At 52.2% G+C, this 19,213-nt stretch overlaps 4 annotated features.

The window, feature by feature from the left end:
• Positions 3,743 to 4,341: an enhancer, noted in NCBI's record as "OCT4-H3K4me1 hESC enhancer chr14:77401173-77401771 (GRCh37/hg19 assembly coordinates)". NCBI's record gives its function as "activates a minimal SCP1, AML or CMV promoter by ChIP-STARR-seq in naive H9 embryonic stem cells {active_cell/tissue: H9 hESC(naive)}" and the evidence as "EXISTENCE:reporter gene assay evidence [ECO:0000049][PMID:30033119]".
• Positions 4,342 to 4,939: an enhancer, noted in NCBI's record as "OCT4-H3K4me1 hESC enhancer chr14:77401772-77402369 (GRCh37/hg19 assembly coordinates)". NCBI's record gives its function as "activates a minimal SCP1, AML or CMV promoter by ChIP-STARR-seq in naive H9 embryonic stem cells {active_cell/tissue: H9 hESC(naive)}" and the evidence as "EXISTENCE:reporter gene assay evidence [ECO:0000049][PMID:30033119]".
• Positions 8,852 to 9,352: an enhancer, noted in NCBI's record as "H3K4me1 hESC enhancer chr14:77406282-77406782 (GRCh37/hg19 assembly coordinates)". NCBI's record gives its function as "activates a minimal SCP1, AML or CMV promoter by ChIP-STARR-seq in primed H9 embryonic stem cells {active_cell/tissue: H9 hESC(primed)}" and the evidence as "EXISTENCE:reporter gene assay evidence [ECO:0000049][PMID:30033119]".
• Positions 10,959 to 11,068: an enhancer, noted in NCBI's record as "active region_8776". NCBI's record gives its function as "activates an Ori minimal core promoter by ATAC-STARR-seq in GM12878 lymphoblastoid cells {active_cell/tissue: GM12878}" and the evidence as "EXISTENCE:reporter gene assay evidence [ECO:0000049][PMID:35858748]".

A 19,213-nucleotide genomic window follows, 5' to 3' on the forward strand; every position in this document is an offset into this window, starting at 1 on the left:
GCACTTTGGGAGGCCAAGGTGGAGGCAGATCACCTGAGGTCAGAAGTCTGAGACCAACCTGGGCAACATAGTGAAACCCCATTTCTACTAAAAATACAAAAAATGTAGGTGGGTATGGTGGCACGCACCTGTAGTCTCAGCTACTCAGGAGGCTGAGGTGGGAGGATCACTTAAAACTGGGAAGTGGAGGTTACAGTGAGCCAACATCATGCCACTACACTCCAGCCTGGACAGTGGAGTGAGACTGCATCTCAAAGAAACAAAAAAAAGGACACCAGTCTTTGGATTTAGGGCCCACCTTAGTCAAGTATGCCCTCATCTCTACTTGATTACATCTGCAAAGACCCTATTTCCAAATAAGGTCACATTCATGGGTTCCAACTGGACATGAATTTGGCGGGGGAGCTATTTGACCCAGGATTCTCCCTTACCCTCATCTTTGATTTTTCCCTCTGTCTTATCCCCACCACTCCCAAGAAGCTTTCAGGTCAGCCTGACTGCTCCTCCTTGACATCTGCCTGTCTGTCTCCTCTTCACCATGCTGACAGCCAGGGCCTTCCCATTTAGCACAGACTCTGGGGCTTTTCTTTCTTTCTTTCTTTCTTTGTCTGTCTGTCTGTCTGTCTTTCTTTCTTTCCCCTCTCTCTCTCTCTTTTTTTTTTTTTTTTTGCGACAGAGTTTCGCTCTTGTTGCCCAGGCTGGAGTGCAATGAGGTGTGAGCCACTGAGCCTGGCCAACTCTGGGGCTTTAATAAGGAAACTTGAACATGTTGCTTCATTTCTCTGGGCCTGAGTTTCCTGACTTGCAAAGTGGACATAAAAGTAGTACGGTGCCTACTTTACAGTACTATTGTGATGATCAAGTGAACTACTCTGTAAAGAGGCAGAGAACAATGCCTGGCATGGAAGCATGGCTGTTACTAGTATCTTGTCCGGCCTCCATCACGTCTAGCATGAAATACTGCAAAGGCTTCCTAACCAGCTGCCCTCTAGCTTCAGTCTTCCAGCACACCACACTGTCTTCAAAACACAAATCTTACCTTGTCACTCTCTGTCATCTGAATGTGCTCCACTGCATCCAAGTATTCACAGCAGAGCACACAGGGCATTTGGCAAGGCAAGTGCTTTATACCTGCCTAGACAGCCTTGTCTCACTTCTTGCTGTTCTGTGCATTTCGATACACACGCTTGTACTCACCGCAGCTCCAGCAAGCCCTCTGGCTCTCTCCTGCCTCTCCACCTTTGCATGGCTGCTCTGCTCCCTGGGTCTCCCCGACCCCTTCTCTACTTGGATGTCTGCCACTTCTCCCTCTGGATACATTCAGCTGGGTCCTACCATCTCCAGGTCACCAACCACTACTCCTGCACCTTCCAGCCTGTGCCAGGGGTCCATATTCTGGGGTCCTGCCCTGTCTCTGCCCTTCACAGCTGTGAACTACTCCAGGAACAGGACTGTATCCCTTCTCTGCATTTCAGACCAGCCCCTGGAACACAGTAGGTACAGGGAGGAGTGAAATGATACTTAGTCTTCTAGACCCTGCCGGGGCCCCTTTGATCTGCATCCCTCTACTTCCCATTCCACTTGACACCAGTCTACCTTTGCCAGGTCATTGGGACCCTCTGTCTCCCGGCAGCCCCCAGAGCCTCCTCTTCTCCACCTCCTCACTGTTCTTTAGCCTCCTCCTGCCTCTGGGCCTCTCCAAAGAGCTCCCTCTCCCCCTACCTGCAATCTCAGCTTGTTTCCTTTCGTCCCTAGCTTGGGCCACTCACCGGCTCTTCTTCTCTCTGGACTGCTATTTGCTTCTGTAACTGGGTGATTTGCATGCACTTGTCGTTTGGGGATGCATTTGTGGACACCGTCTTGGTGGAACAGTTGTGCCGAGCTGGGTGTCAGCAGGAGAGTGGCCCCCAGAGGGGTGGGAGGCAGCTGTGGAGAGCAGTAAACGCTCACCCCCAGGAGATTTTCATCAGCCTGAGAGCCTGTGCTCCCTCTCCACCCAAAAGCAACACCTCAGGTGCCCCCTTGGGATTTGCAAGGGAAGGGGATACCTCAGCCCCTGAGACTTGTTGCTGCCAGAGGACAAAGTGGCGTGAGGAGGAAGCCTCTCTCCTGGGGAGTCCTGCCATGGGAAAGACTCCTCTTGAGGCTGCTTGAAGCCCACCTGCAGGCAGAAAAAAGAAAGGCCTGGGATGCCTTGGCCTTCAGAGGGCTGGGGAGCAAAAGCAGAGAGGGTCTGCTCCAGGCAGCGCTGGGTGACAGAATTACCCGTAGCCCCAGGGCCCAGCTGGAGGGACTTTAATAGAATCTGTATTCCTCACCTGGCCCCTTTTCTCCTACGCGCTGTGGGGAGGCGAGCCCAGAACCAGCAAAGGCCTGTCTGTACCTACAGTGCCCATGTTAGCAGCAAGGCCCAGCCTCAAACTCCTGGCCCTATTTCCATCTGCCATCTGGTTGTCACCCAGGAATCTCAAACTCAGCATCTTCCCCACTATCCTCCTGCACCAAAGCTTCCAGGGCCTCTCTTCTGGATTGGAGGCACCCTATCTGCCTGGTACCCAGTAGCCACACCCACACCAGAAACTCGGGAGTCTCCTTTGATGCCTCTTTCTCTGTTGGTGGCCACCCACACAGAACGTCACCAATAGTGATTGTTTCGACCTTCTGAACAGCTCTCCTGCCTCCTACCCCTACCCAGGCCCTCTGGTCACCCAGCCTCTTGCACCTGCACTACTCTGCCAGTCCCCTAACTCGTCCCCTTAACTCACCCCGTGTCCCCTCCTTCCCAAATCACATGGTGACCAACAAGCTTTAGAAGCAGAGACATCCATCAAGTGGGAACAGTACTTAAAAAAAAAAAAAAAAAGTACGGGCCAGGCACAGTGGCTCGCACCTGTAATCCCAGCACTTTGGGAGGCTGAGGTGGGCGGATCATGAAGTCAGGAGTTCAAGACCAGCCTGGCCAACATGGTGAAACCCCATCTCTACTAAAAACAAATACAAAAATTAGCTGGGCGTGGTGGTGGGTGCTTGTAATCCCAGCTACTCGGGAGGCTGAGGCAGGGGAATCATTTGAATCCAGGAGGCGGAGGTTGCAGTGAGCTGAGATCATGCCATTGCACTCCAGTCTGGGCGACAGGGCGAAACCCCGTCTCAAAAAAAAAAAAGAGAGATAGAAAAATAAATGAGCTAGGCGTAGTGGTGGCACATGCCTGTACTCTCAGCTACTCGGGAGGCTGAGGCAGGAGAATCGCTTGAACCGGGGAAACAGACGTTGCAGTGAGCCAAGATCACACCACTGCACTCCAGCCTGGGCAACAGAGCCGAGACTACGTCAAAAAAAAAAGGAGGCAAATACATAATAAATGGTTTGTTGATCTCCCATGACAATACAATAAAACTATCTATGATTTGCTCACACTTAAATCCGATCTTGTCTCTCTCCTGTAAAATCCTTCCACGGATTCTCATGGAACTCAGGAAAAAAAGTGCAGCTGTATAACTTTCAGGCCTTTTGTAACCAGGCATTCTCTTGCCCACCGGGGACAAGGCAGTGAGGACAGGCGGTACCTTTTCCACTCATACCTACTCCAAATCCATCCTTATAGATGTACTGATTTACTTTCTTCTCCTTCTTCTTCTTCTTCTTCTTCTTTTTTTTTTTTTTTTTTTTTTTTTTTTTTTTGAGACGGAGTCTTGCTTTGTCACCCAGGCTGGAGTGCAGTGGCATGGTCTCGGCTCACTGCAACCTAAGCCTCCCAGGTTCAAGCAATTCTCCTGCCTCAGCCTCCTGAGTAGCTGGGACTACAGGCATGTGCCACCACGCCCAACTAATTTCTTTGTAATTTTTAGTAGAGATGGGTTTTCTCCATGTTGGCCAGGCTGGTCTCAAACTCCTGACCTCAGGTGATCCGCCTGCCTCAGCCTCCCAAAGTGTACCTTCTTTTGACTCTTAAATGATACTCCTTGACCCCTAAGTTTTCCCCAATTCTCAAACTTCCAAGCAGCTGGAAGTGCCCCACCCATCCTGATAAGACATCTCTGGAAGCTCCCTCAGTTTCCCGCCAAACCTCCCTTCTACTTTGCTTGCCAGTGCCAGCAACTCTGTGAAGATATGATGGGTGGCCATTGCCTCCAGTCGCCCTAACAGAAGGCCAGGCCTGGGGCAGGGCCCAACCCTTCTGCCCAGTCTGCAAGCCCTGGGCTGCTACTGATGCCACAGAGAGGCCAGAGCCAGGAGCTGGGCTCAGCACAAGAATGGCGAGTCCCTCAGCCCAGTGGCCCAAGGGCAGCACCAAGCCCTCGCCTCCACTCCAGCCCCTGTCTCCCCTCTGTTTTGCATTCCAGGCCCATTCCCCACTTTGACGAAACAGTAACCATTTTCTAGCTGCCCCATGCTCTTCTTTGCATTATTCATGGGCTCCGGTCTCTTTGCTACCAGCAGGCACAGGCTGCTCTCCTGCTGCATTAAGGGAGTAAAAAGGTACAGGCCCTGGTGAAACAGCACCCCCTCCCTTCCCTTCCCACTTGCCCTTTTCTTCGCTGCCCTTTTCCTAAGTCAGGAGGGTGAAGAAGAGGGTCTGTGATGGCCCTGCACACCCCTCGGGGCCACTGAGAGCCCATGGTTATTTGCTGCTTCTCATCTGGACCCAGTGCCTGCTCCATGGGCCTGGCTCTGGAGAGGTTTCGGGAGAGCCAGCAGATGAGCTTGGGAACAGCCCTTCCTGCAGAGGAGATTCAGGTTTCTCCCGCCCAGCTCTGCCAGCCCCCAGCCCACAGCCCTGAGCTTGCCTCACTCATCTCTTAAGTGAAAAAAGGTCACATGGGGACCACTAGATCTGAGCAGACCAGAAGGACATGTCCTCTTGGTCCTGTTCCTGCTCCCTTGGCCTTGCAGTCTTTTTTTTTTTTTTTTGAGATGGAGTTTCGCTCTTGTTGCCCAGGCTGGAGAGCAGTGGTGTGATCTCGGCTCACCGCAACCTCCGCCTCCCAGGTTCAAGTGATTCTCCTGCCTCAGCCTCCCGAGTAGCTGGGATTACAAGCACCTGCCACCATGCCTGGCTAATTTTGTATTTTTAGTAGAGACAGGGTTTCTCCGTGTTGGCCAGGCTGGTCTCAAACTCCCGACCTCAGGTGATCTGCCCACCTCAGCCTCCCAAAGTGTTGGGATTACAGGTGTGAGCCACTGCGCCCAGCCCAGTCTTGCTGTCTTCTTTACTCAACCAGGGCAGGTGACAGGGACCTTAGACAGCTCACGATGCTGGGCTTTCTTGCCTCCTTCCCTAGTCTTCCACCTGCAATCCGGCAACTTCTCCCTTTGCCAGGAAAGGATGCTGAACGGGAACATTCACCATTGGTTGGACACAAAGCTGGCTTTCCTTTCATCACCTAAGATGCCATCAGCGGCCTGCTGTCTGGCCTAGTCTTCCCCAACCCATCCCCAGGCTGGCCCTTCAACCCCAGCTAAGTTCTGAGGGCCCCAGGTTGGGTCATAGCCTCCATCCCTAGAGGATGGAAGCAGGCTCGAGGCCACCTCCTCTGAGGCTCCCCAGCTGCCTGCTTCAGTGACCCCGCATGGCTTCCCTGTGGGATGCAGACCAAAGGTTCTGGATGGGGCCCAACGGTGCTGGGTAGGCTGTCAGGATTACTGAGCTGTAGTGCTCTGTTGTGCAGTCACTTACTCATCATATTTATTCTTTTTTTTTTTTCTTCTGAGGCAGAGTCTGGCTCTTTCGCCCAGACTGTAGTGCAACAGCACAATCTCGGCTCACTGCAACCTCCCTCCCGGGTTCCAGTGATTCTTGTACCTCAGCCTCCTGAATAGCAGGGATTACAGGTATGTGCCACCACGCCCAGCTAATTTTTGTATTTTTAGTAGAGATGGGGTTTTGCCATGTTGGCCAGGATGGTCCCAAACTCCTGACTTCAAGTGATCCACCAGCCTTGTCCTCTTAAAGTGCTGGGATTACAGGCGTGAGCCACCGTGCCCAGCCCACATCTATTCTTTCAACAGCTCTTCGAGGCAGGGGATATTTATCCCCTCTTCACAGATAAAGAAACAAAAGCTCAGAGAGGTTAGCACGAGCAAGGTCACACAGCCAGCAAACGGCAGGGCTCAGATTCTCTAACAACTCCGGCACAAGGGGTCTCTTCCATCAGCGCTCCCCACCTGACCCCCAGTCCTCCCTGCCACCTTTCCCAGGGCCGGTGCAGGGGGCTGAGGGTGCCACGCCCAGCTGGCTGGAGATGCAGCAGCTCTGCCTGCCCCTGAAGGACCCAACTGCGAATCAGCAGCCTGGTATCCAGGCAACCAGTCTCCCTGGCTTCAGATAAGCAGAAACAGCTGGGAGCTGCTGAGGCTGGAACACCATCAGGGAAGGGAGGAGGAGCCCACCAGCCAGTCAGCGTGTTATTTTAACACGTTGTTATTCTTACCCTCTCAGACCTTGGCTTGACTGGGCCCTTTCCCCCAAGCTTATCCTTGCCACTGCCACAGGGGAGGGGTCTCCAGGGGTTCCACCTAGCCCTGAGCCTGGCACAATTGAGGTGACGTAAGGGGAGAAATGTTGGCAGTCCCTCTTTCCGTGAGCAAGGGAGAAAAGGAAAGTTGGCCAAAGGCTGCCAAGATTAAGAGGCTCTGGGGTGACTTCATAAGCAGAAGTAGTTGAGTTTCACCTTTTGGAGCCTCCAGGCCTCAATGAGAGGTTTTCCACCCCCCTATACCAGGCTAGCTGAGTACAGGTTCAGCTGGATAACCCCATCCAACACCCATGATGGCAGCAGCAACTGGGCTGGGGGTGAAGGAAGCCATGGGGACACGTGGACTGTCAGACAAGCGAGGTCTGGCTCAGCCCCAACTCTGCTGACGACAAGTTTGGCCACGCCTCTCTGAGCCTCAGTTTCCTCATCCATAAAATGGAGACAATCATGCATACCCTGCTGGCTGGAGGTGGAAAGTAAGTGAGGAAGGCCTGTGAAATGCCGGGCATCATGTCTGACACAGTGGGTACTAACATGGTTCTCCTCCCCTCCTCATGTTGGGGCCTGCCCTGCCTGGCCTGGCCACCTCTCTCACACAGGATTCTGAACTCTCCAGGGCTATTTCTGTCTCCTGTTCTAAAGGTCAGTGACTTTCCTGGGATATGGCAGCTGCTGCCTCTTTTCCACCTCTAAGTGGCATTAATCCCATGCCAGGGGGACAGTGGTTGCCCCAGATGGCTTTCCCCATCCCCTGCCTTTATCCAGAACTGGCCCAGGCATGTCCACCCTCTCTTCTACACATAGACCCCCAAGGCTACCGCCAGGCCTGGAGCTTGGCCATTTTTGACTGACTCATGACCAGAATATTCCACCGTTCCTTCAGCACTGGGCCCACCAAGGCTCTTCATTGACTGCCTTGGCCTCTCTCCCTAGCGCCAGCTCCAGGTGATGCCCGGCCCTCCCTAAGGGCTGATGGACTTTTCCCACAAGGAGGCTTGGAGAACAGGACAGGAAGAGAAAGCGTGCCCACCCTGCTGGGGAGCCTCAGAGGCACACTCCCCTCCTCTCCTCCAGGGACTGGCAGGAGGGGATTACCTTGCCTCAAAGTGTCCCTTATCCCAGAATTACTGCCCACTTTCACCCCTGTGCTGGGGGGAGCAGGGAGAGCTGCCAGTGAGTGACATTCACCTGTAACAAGAGCCCAGAGCAGGCTGGGTGCGGTGGCTCACGCCTGTAATCCCAACACTTTGGGAGGCCGAGGCGGGCAGATCACCTGAGGTCGGGAGTTTGAGACCAACCTGACCAACATGGAGAAACCCCGTCTCTACTATAAATACAAAAAATTAGCAGGGCGTGGTGGCACATGCCTGTAATCCCAGCACTCGGGAGGCTGAGGTAGGAGAATCGCTTGAACCCAGGAGGCGGAGGTTTCAGCGAGCTGAGATCACACCATTGCACTCCAGCCTGGGCAACAAGAGGAAAAACTGTCTCAAAAAATAAAAATAAAAAAATTTAAAAAAAGAAAAAAAAAAAAGAAAAACACCAAGAGCCCAGAGCAGAGCACTCTGCAGCCTGACAGCAACTAAAGTAGGCTGGGGAGGGGTGTGGCCTTCAGGAGGCTCAGGCCCCATCAGTACCCAAAAGCACACCCGCCTTGGGATTGGCCCATCCTGCCAGCACTGGCGACATTGATGGAGTGGTTTCCACGTGTAAATGGTGCCATCTATTCACCAGCTCATGCCCCAGCAGATCCCTCATAGAGAGGGAACTGTTGTCATTCCCATTTTACAGAGGATGCAACTGAAGCTCAGGGAGTGCTGAGAAAACCTCCAGCATTCATACCAATTCTTTTCTAACTGCCCCTGTTCATTCTGTTCATTTTCTCTTTTTTTCTTTCTTTTCTTTTCTTCTTTTTTTTTTTTTTTTTGAGACAGGGTCTCACTGTGTTGCCCAGGCTGGAGTGCAGTGGCACAGTCACAGCTCACTGCAGCCTCGACCTCCCGGGTTTAAGCAATCCTCCCACCTCAGCCTCCCAGGGCACGTGCTAACATGCCCAACTAATTTTTTTAATTTTTGGTAGAGATGAGGTGTCACTATGTTGCCCAGGCTGATCTCGAACTCCTGGGATCAAGTGATCCACCCGCCTCGGCCTTCCAAAGTGCTGGGATTATAGACGTGAGCCACCACACCTGGCCCTTCTTTTATTTTCACACAGGAACTCCTTCCAGGGACCCCCAGTGTGTCCTGATGCACAGCTACGGGTTCCAAGGCAAACCCTTCCTGACCACCCCAACCGTCCCCTGAGCTCCCTGAAGGAAAAGTGAGAGGATGGGCAGCCAAGGCCTGGGCTGGGGACAATGGAGGTCTCATCTGGGTGGTTGAGAAGAAGGAAGGATAACTTGGTGACAGCTGAGTGTTCTCTGAGCCAGGTTTTTTCCATTTTCCAGCCAAAATGGAGAAAGGAGGAAAAGGCAGCCTCTGGGCTGGGGTGGGGAGAAGGAGAGCAGCTTCCTCCTCTTCCTCAGCCCAGCCCCAGCCAGTGTGTCCCATTCTTCCTGGCACCCTCAATCCCCTCTGCCTCCCCTCATGTGGAATTTCTGGGAAAGAACCAAGACTCCAAAGCAAGATAAATAGAAGTGAAGGGGGCTTGGGAGGAGCATTCCAGGGCTAAAAATAACAGGGTCAGCTGGCTGGAAGAGCAAATGGCCCCTAGCCCCTCCCCATCTCCCCCAGGGCCGGCTCCCATCCAGCCCCCCTCCTCTCTCAACTGGGCTCCCAACCTGGGAAGTCTGGAATACCAGTCTCCTATCACCATGCCCATGATCCCCTTTCCAGATCCCTCCCCAGCTGCGGGGCCACAGTCAGGGGAGGTAGGGAGCCCACCCCACCTAGGACCTCCCCTTCCACAGCACCCACTGGAAAGCGTGGGCAGCTACAGTGGGCCCACAGCCTGGCAGCTACGCTTCTCGCCTGCCTTCTCTATCATTTATTTATGTTAACAAAATACAAGTTTGGGCCGCGTGCAGTGGCTCATGCCTGCAATCCCAACACTTTGGGAAGCCAAGACAGGACTGCTTGAGCCCAGGAGTTTGAGACCAGCCTAGGCAACATAGCAAGACCCTGGCTCTACAAAAAATAAAAATAGAAATGATGAGTTAGCAATGTGTGGTGGCGCACCCCTGTGGTCCCAGCTACTTGGGAAGCTGAGGTGAGAGGATCACCTGGGCCCAGGAGATCGAGGCTGCAGTGAGCTATGGTTGCACCACTGCACTCCAGCCTGGGTGACAAAGTGAGACCCCTGTCTCTAAAAAACAAACAAAAAAACAGCCGGGCCTGGTGGCTCACGCCTGTAATTCCAGCACTTTGGGAGGCTGAGGCGGGCAGATCACTTGAGGTCAGGAGTTCAAGACCAGCCTGGCCAACATGGTGAAACCCCATCTTTACTAAACACACACACACACACACACACACACACACACACACACACACACACACACACACACACAATTAGCCGGGCGTGGTGGCGGGCGCCTGTAATCCCAGCTACTCTAGAGGCTGAGGTGGGAGAATTGCTTGAACCCAGGAGGCAGAGGTTGCGGTGAGCCACTGCACTCCAGCCTGGGTGACAGAGTAAGACTCTGTCTCAATTAAAAAAAAAAAAAAGCAAAAAGCAATACAGGCTTGTAATCTTGTCAGCAAAGGCAGGGATATTTCAGAACCAGAAGGATCTCGTTCTCCCTACAAGAGCATCCCCACCACTGGTAAGCAATTCCACTTCTACAGACGGTAACAGAGGGGAGAGTATGGAGAAAAAAGAAAATTCTAGGAGAAAACTCATCCAGCACCTACGGTGTGCCAGAACTGTGCTAGGCTTGTCTTGTCCATCGTTTCACTCCATTCTCACAGAACGTAGATATTGTTCTATCCCCATTTTCCAGATATGAAAACTTAGACTCAGAAATGCAAAGAAAGAACCAAAATCATCAGAGGTAGCCTAGATAGGAGTGGTGCTGCCATGCCCCAGGGCTACCTCCCAAAGGGGCCAGCTTCTTCCCACGATCGATCGGCGCTGGATGCCATCTCTCTTCCCTCCAGCTGCTCCCAGGGATCCATGATAGCAGCTGAGACCAGCCCTGGAGCAAAGCAATCAGGCCTGCCAGAGTTCAGGGTCTTCTGGAAGTGTTAGCCCCTCCCCTCACCCGCAGCTGGGACCAAGTGGCTTGTGTCACCGCCTATGCAAGGCCCCTTTCCCCAAGGACACCAGAGGTGGGGTCCTTCCTATCTAGTGGCAGCTGCTGCTGTTCTGGGGAGTGCAGCTGGGATGAGGGGAGGGGGGTGTCCAGAAGGCTTGACCAGGAAAGTCCCCGTCTCACACCCATGACACCCTTGATTGTCCCTGCAGGAGTCTGACCTGTGGGCGGAGGAGTTTCAGGGAACCAAGCCTGGCTTCGGTAGTCCCACAGACATGAGGACACCCTTTCCTGAAAAGCCAGGAGGCCTTGGACAGGCCTGCACAGCATCACCCCGGCCCCCACTTCTCCACCTACGCTGGGGTTTGTTCTTCTCTTGGCCATGGGCGAGCGGGTGGGTGGGAGGAAACACTGAGATTGTTAAACCCAGAACAAGCAGGGCAGGCTTAGATGTGACTTAGCTGCTGTCCTTAGCCAGCAGAGGGGTTTTAGTGCAGGGGATAGGAGGCAGCTGTTATCCTCCTGAGATGCAGGGAAGCAAGATGAAAAGGGTGTTCACAACCACAGGAATTGAGTCTCCTGGTTGACTGGCTGCCAGGTTGGAGACACCCCAGCATCCTGTCCACCTCTGCTTGAGTACACCTACCGATGGGAGGCTCATCCCATGAGAAAGCTCTCATTACTCAAGCTCTTCCTGTTGGTGCTGAGCTGCAGTCTCTACCCCCATGCCTCTCACTGTCTGATTCTGCCCTCTGGGGCCACAAAGCTGCTCCCCTTTCTGCGGGAAGGCCTTTCAAAGGTAAAGTGCTCTCTCAGTCAACCAGCTTTCAAATGTTAGAATTGGGGACAGTCACAGAAAGAATGAGATGATTCAAAACCATGCTGAATGGTTGATGATCACTGCTGCCCAAGCTCTGCTCCTGTGACACTGTGCCTCAAAGACACCTACGGTTAGGGCGCGATTCACACGGGGCTCTTTATTTAGCAGGAGTGGAAGCTTTTATTTCCCAATCTATAAGACTCTCAGGAAAGTTCTCACAGGCCCAACAAACATCGGGTCTTCTTTGACAGCAGCTGGACATTGCATTGTTTACCAGGTTTGCTGGGTTTCTCCAGCCAGAAACCCAGAAGTCCTGGAGACTCATCCTCTTCCCTCCCCAGCTCCAACCCACCCCCACCTCCATGCAGGTCTCGTTTCTACCCACTTTTCTCCACCCTTATGGCCACCATCCTAACCTGTCTAAACCTCCCCTCCCTCCCACCTTCCAACTGCTCTGTACTTCCAGAGATGTATCCTGCTTCCCACCCCATCCCCAATCCACCCAATACTGGCTCCTAGAAGCCAGGGCATGGTCCGATTATGTAATTCTCCTAGGCAACCCTTACAATGATTGTCCAGTGCACTTTGAGTAAAACCCAAACTCCTCGCCAGGGGCTATATGGGTCTTCCACGCTGGACTCTGCCCGTTTTCCTGACCTCTGGCCTTCCAGGAACATCCCAAGCTGTTTCCTGCCACAGGGCCTTTGCACTTTCTGGCCCCACTCCCTGGAACATCATCCCATTAGCTCTTCCCATGTTTGGTTCCTTCTCAACCTTCAGGGCTCAGCTAGAATGTCACCTTCTCAGAAAGACCTCCCCTGGCTGCCCTATCTCAATTAGATGGCCTTTTTAACTCTCTGTTACAGGCCTTTTTTCATATGTATGTATCACTTACAACATATTGTCTGTCTACCACACTAAAACGGTAGCTGCAGGAGAACAGGGACCCTGGCTGTCTTGCCCACTGCTGTCTTTGCTGCATCCCACAGAGGGTCTGGCACTTATAGGGACACAAGTAATATCTGTGGGTGATAAATAACAGCTTTGCCCTTGTCTAGTCTACAGGGGTATTTGTTTTTTGTTATTCATTTTTTAATTTTTATTTTTTTGAGACAGAGTCTCACTCAGTCACCCAGGCTGGAGTACAATGGCTTGATCTCAGCTTACTGCGACTTCCACCTCCAGGGTTCAAGCAATTCTTGTGCTTCAGCCTCCAGAGTAGCTGGAATTACAGGTGCACGCCACCACACCCAGCCAATTTTTGTATTTTTAATAGAGACAGGAGTTTCACCATGTTGTCCAGGCTGGTCTTGAACTCTTGACATCAAGTGATCTGCCCACCTGGGCCTCCCAAAGTACTGGGATTACAGGTGTGAGCCACTGCACCCGGCCCCTACAGGGGTATTTGGAATCCAGTCCTCCTTGGAAACAGAAAGATGGACATGAAAACTGCCTAAGGGCCTCCTGAACCCAATCAGAGGAGGAGTGCATGTAAGAAAAACTGGCCACTTCTCCTAGTTTGCCCATTCACTCATTCACTTGTTAATTCCTCTATCAAAAACTGAGCCTTTTGGGCTGGGCACGGTGGTTCACGCCTGTAATTCCAGCACTTTGGGAGGCCGAGGCAGGTGGATCACTTGAGGTCAGGAGTTTGAGACCAGCCTGACCAACATGGTGAAACCCCATCTCTACTAAAAATACAAAAATTAGTTGGGTGTGGTGGCACGCTCCTGTAGTCCCAGCCACTCGAGAGGCTGAGCCAGGAGAAATTGTTTGAACCTGGGAGGCAGAGATTGTAATGAGCCAAGATCGCACCACTGCACTCCAGCCTGGGTGACAGAGCTAGACTCCATCTCAAAAACAAAACAAAACAAAAAACACAAAACTGAGTCCTCCTGATTGCCAGAAACTTTTCTAGGGACTAAAACCTTAAAGGTGAGCGATAAACATTTCATCATAAACAAGTAAACAACAAAACAATTACAGATGGTGGTAAGTAAGGGTCCTGCAAACACTAAAACTGGTCTCGGGAGAGGAGTTTGGGTGAGGAAGTCTGTTACAAAGGGCATCAGGTAAAGTCTGAGGATTACGGACACAGGGCAGGCCTGGATGTGCACAGCCCGCCCCCTCGCCCCTGCCCCCAGCCCCCATTTCATCACCAAGTAGCAGGCATGTTATAGGTTGGAAGATAAGAGTAGATGGCAGGATTCCGATAAAGTGTACATTCGGCCAGCTAGTCCCCCATAAAAATGACACAGGTAGTGGTGTCCCTGTAAAGCTCTGTGTCCACTGAGCCGTGCTGTCACTTCACAGCCTTGCAGGAAAGCTGCAGAGATTTCTTCTGTAGAGCACGAGGTCAACACTAACTGGTTCTCTGGGTTAAATACCTATCTGCTGTATCTGCTTACTTAGAACAAGGGGCACCTGCAACCCACACACTCACAGGTAGACAGATGTGCTTTATGGTGCAGGAGAAAGGACTCCACCCTCACATGGCTTGTGAAAGAAACTCTACAGTGAGTAAAAGCCAAATAGAACTGCAATCAATTTGTGAAAGCCACCTGGGTGCAGCGGCTCATGCCTGTAATCCCAGCACTTTGGGAGGCCGAGGCAGGTGGATCACCTGAGGTCGGGAGTTCGAGACCAGCCTAGCCAATATAGTGAAACCCCGTCTCTACTAAAAATATAAAAATTAGCTGGGTGTGGTGGTGGGTGCCTGTAATTCCAGCTACTCGGGAGGCTGAGGCAGGAGGATCGCTTGAACCCAAGAGGCAGAGGTTGCAGTGAGCCAAGATCACGCCACTGCACTCCAGCCTGGGCGACAGAGCAAGACTCCATCTCAAAAACAAACAAAAAAATTGTGAAAGCCAATTTGAATGCTAAGACGACCAAAAAACCAAAATGACACATTTAAGGGACAAAGTTCAATCAGAGTATGTGTCAGCATGTGAGAGGTTGGTGTGACTTTACCTCGTTCCCAGCAGTCTTGGGTGGTGCCTCTAGGGAGATGGTATATAAATATCTAGAGAGAGTGCATTTCTATCTCTTGTTGGTTTCACACACTTTCTTTCTTTTTAAAAAAATATTTTCTTTTGGGCCGGGCGTGGTGGCTCACGCCTGTAATCCCAGCACTTTGGGAGGCCGAGGTGGGCAGATCACGAGGTCAGGAGATCGAGACCATCCTGGCTAACACAGTGAAACCCTGTCTCTACTAAAAATACATAAAATTAGCTGGGCATGGTGGTGGGCGCCTGTAGTCCCAGCTACTCGGGAGGCTGAGACAGGAGAATGGTGTGAACCCGGGAGGCGGAGCTTGCAGTGAGCTGAGGTCGCGCCACTGCACTCCAGCCTGGGCAAAAGAGCGAGACTCCATCTCAAAAAATATATATATTTTTTATTTTAAGTTCTGGGATACATGTGCAGGACATGCAGGTTTGTTACATAGGTAAACGTGTGCCATGGTGGTTTGCTGCCCCTATCAATCCATCACCTAGGTATTAAGCCCCGCATGCATTAGCTCTTTATCCTGATGCTCTCCCTCCCCACACCCACCCTGTTTCAGACACTTTTTTTTTTTGGAATCGGGGTCTTCCTTGTTGCCCAGGCTGGAGTGCAGAGGCACAATCATGACTCACTGCAGCCTTGAACTCCTGGGCTCAAGGGATCCTGCCACCTCAGCCTCCCAAAGTGTTGAGATTACAGGTATGAGCCACCGCACCCAGCGCTGTTTCACACACTTTTTTTTTTTTTTTTTGAGACGGAGTTTTGCTCTTGTTGCCCAGGCTGGAGTGCAATGGCATGACCTCAGCTCACTGCGAATTCTGCCTCCTGGGTTCAAGCGATTCTCCTGCCTCAGCCTCCAGAGTAGCTGGGATTACAGGCAGGCTCCACCACACCCAGCTAATTTTGTATTTTTAATAGACATGGGGTTTCTCCATGTTGGTCAGGCTGCTCTTGAACTCCTGACCTCAGGTGATCCGCCCGCCTCGGCCTCCCAAAGTGCTGGGATTACAGGCGTGAGCCACCACGCCCGGCCTCACACACTTTTTTATCTCTCCTCATTTCACGTATTCATTCACCAAACCTGGGCATCCCCACCCTGATCCAAGTCCTTGCAGTCTCTGGGGTGGGGGAGAATTGGGAGGAGTGGAACAGAAAAGAATGGGACAAGGGGGTCCTCTCTTCAGACAGTTCACCGACCGGCCCCAACCCCTATTTTCTGTCTGGGGAACACAGGCTCCACCTGCCTGCTGCCCAAGCCAAAGCCCTGGCATCCCTTCTTCCAACCAAGCACCAGGCCTGGTCATGTGTACCTCTTAAATCACTCTGATCTGAAATCACTCACCTCCTACCGTTGCCCTAGGTCAAGCCACAGAAGCCTGGCCTAGCCTCTCGGGGTACACATCCCACCCATCCTCCAGGAGTCCTCCGTAGGCACAGCCATCTTTAACAAACACACACTGGCCTTGCCATGTCCCACTGAAAAAGCCCGTAGGCCTTGGAGAGCCTGTCGTGCCCCTGCAAGGCAGCCCCTCTTTCCACACTGGACCAGGTGAAGTATGTGCTTCTAGGAGGCACCAACGGGTACTTCCCAGGTGCTCGTCTCCCCACGCAGGGGGCAGCATGGTGTCTAGAACACGGTGGCACTGGCTGGTGACACCTGGGCCAAGGCAACCCGTGGGATTTTTCTTCCCTACCGCGCTGAGTAACCATGTGGTGGCAGGCGAGGCCCCGCCGGGACTAAAGAGCCGGCAAGCGCGGGGCCCAGGCAGCAGCTGGTGTCGCCAAGGAAACCGCTCGCAGCGCCTCCCGGGGCCGGCCTTTTCACTTGGCCTTTTTGGCAGGCTTCCTCAGCCACCCTGAAACCCATTCATCCGGGTGCGCCGGGCCCTCGCCCCTGCCCCCACCCTGCCCTTCTGCCTCACTGGCCAGCTCTTCCCCCTCCCCCTCCCCCTCCCCTTCCTCTCCTCTCCTCTCTTCCCCGCTGCCCTCCCTGCTGCAGCCTTTGCCAAAGCTCAGGGAGGGGAAAGCTGGGCCAAGGAAGGACTCCGATTTTCAATTCTAAGCTGATTTCCCCTCTGCAGGCAGCAAGCCCTTTCATGCATTTTTTCCCTATTATCATAAACGCAGGAACTTGCATTAGGATGAATGAGCAGAAACTCCTGTCTTTGTCAAAGCCTTGGCAGAATGCCAGGCATAGAATGACCTAAAACACTCAGAGCTAAATGGAGCTGGAAAGGGGGTGGAGATCCCATGTCGGGTGAGAAATGGGAAGGGGGGAGTGTGGCCCTTGGCCTCTAATTATCATAATAAAGTGTTTGCCCTGTGCTCAGGCACTATGCTAAGCCCTTTGCACAGATTCTCGTTTAATCCGCACAAAATTCCTACGTCCTATTCATCCCCCCATTTTCATAGATGCCAAAACTGAAAATCAGAGGTGTCAAGGAACAGGCCCAACATCACACAGTAAATGAGTGATGGAGTGGGATTTGAACCTTTCAGACTCTGGAGCCTCAACTGATGTCAAGGTCACCTTCCCGAGCTGGTTCAGAGCTCCACAGCCAGTTCTCACCGCCTAGGCCCTCCAAATCCTTTCCCTACCCTCACCTCCCCTCACCCACAGCCTCCCTTCAACGGTGCTCCTGTAATTTCCATTTGTCAGTGTAATTTTGCAAAGCAGGCTTTTCCAAAAATCAGATATGGATAGGAGTCCCCGGGGCAGAGGGAAAGCGGGGCTCCCCAAGACCCAGCCAAGGCATCCTGTTTGTGCTGCCTGGTGGGCAGAGACCTTGATTTTAAACTTGCTTGTCACATGTCCAGCTACAGCACAGGCACTCCGGCACCGAGCCAGTGCTCAGCAATGTTGATCAGGTGCTGCCCTGAATCCACACTTCCTCTCTAGATCCATAGTCCACCCTCCTCCACCTTTTCCTTACCCTGACCTCTCAGGACTGTGCCACAGAGCGTTCTTACCCCTTGGCTTCGGGTTAGATTCAGCCAATGGAATAAGGTGGCAGGTGACTGGAGGGCAGAAGGATAAAGAGGTCGGGGTATTTACCCCACACTCACTTCCTTGCTGGGCATGGGGTGCCAGTGGCTGCTTTCCTCTGCCCATGCCTGCAGCTCTTGTCCTCTGGTCCTCTCCTGCAGCTTAGCTCAGCCACAGCTCTGGAGGGTTCCCTGGCCTCGCCCCCTCAGCCCCACCCACTACTCTGCTGTTAGCCCTGGGATGCATCTCCCTTCCTTATTGGTCTCCTTACTTCGTCTACAACTTTAGAAATAGTTCTTTACAGCCGGGCACAGTGGCTCACACCTGTAATCCCAGCACTTTGGGTGGCCGAGGTGGGAGGATCACCTGAGGTCAGGGGTTCAAGACCAGCCTGGCCAACATGGTAAAACCCCATCTCCATTAAAAAATACAAAAAAAATTAGCCGAACATGGTGGCGCGTGTCTGTGGTCCCAGCTGCTTGGGAGACTGAGGCAGGAGAATTGCTTGAACCAGGAGGCAGAGGTTACAGTGAGCCGAGATCACACCACTGCACTAATGAGACTATATCTCAAACAAACAAACAAAAATATATATATAGTTTTTTATATTCTTTTATTTTATTTTATTTTATTTTATTTTATTTTATTTTTCCATGAGACAGTCTTCCCTCTGTCCCCCAGGCTGGAGTGCACTGATATGATCTCAGCTCACTGTAACCTCCGCCTGCTGGGTTGAAGTGATTCTCCTGCTCCAGCCTCCCAAGTAGCTTGCATTACAGGTGCCCACCACCACGCCTGGCTAGTTTTTGTACTTCTTAGTGGAGACAGGGTTTCACCATGTTGGCCAGGCTGGTTTTGAACTCCTGGCCTCAAATGATCTGCCTGCCTCAGCTTCCCAAAGTGCTGGGATTACAGGCATGAGCCACCGCACCCGGCCAGTTCTTTCTGTTCTTTTTTTTTTTTTTTTTTTTTGAGACGGAGTCTCACTCTGTCGCCCAGGCTGGAGTGCAGTGGCGCAATTTGGCTCACTGCAACCTCTGCCTCCCGGGTTCAAGCAATTCTCCTGCCTCAGCCTCCCAAGTAGCTGGGACTACAGGCGTGTGCCACCACACTCGGCTAATTTTTTGTATTTTTAATAGAGACGGGGATTCACCGTGTTAGCCAGGAGGGTCTGATCTCCTGACCTCGTGATCCATCCGCCTCAGCCTCCCAAAGTGCTGAGATTGCAGGCATGAGCCACCGCACCCCACCTTCTGTTCTTATTTGAACCCTTGGTCACTCTATTTGAGTGTTCAATCTTCTGTTTCCTTCCAGTACACAGACAGTTATAAGTTCCTACTGTCTTTTTTGTAAGTGGCAGGGATATAACAGTGAAAAAAAAAAAAAAAGAAAGAAAAAGAAAAACTTGTGCCCTCAGGGAGCTGGAGAGGACTAAGACAGACATAAACAAACAAATAAGAAATATGCTAATATACTATGTCAGGAAGTATAAGTGCTATGAATGAAGGAAGAGAAAAAAGAATAGATGAATGCAATCATTTAGAGGTTATGACTAGACTTTAGAGATGATCTAATCTGAACCCCTCACTTTACAAATGAAGGCAAGGAGACCTAGAAAGGATGTTTAAGGTCACATGGTGAATTATTGGTAAAAGCTGGGCTGGTTTCCAGCTCTCCTTGGCTCGTCCGGGGCTGGAGGAATGCAGCTCAGCCCATGGAAGGGTGTGTAGGGGGCAG

The sequence above is a fragment of the Homo sapiens genome, chromosome 14, assembly GCF_000001405.40.
Source record: "Homo sapiens chromosome 14, GRCh38.p14 Primary Assembly".
In the NCBI taxonomy this organism is placed as follows: Eukaryota; Metazoa; Chordata; class Mammalia; order Primates; family Hominidae; genus Homo; species Homo sapiens.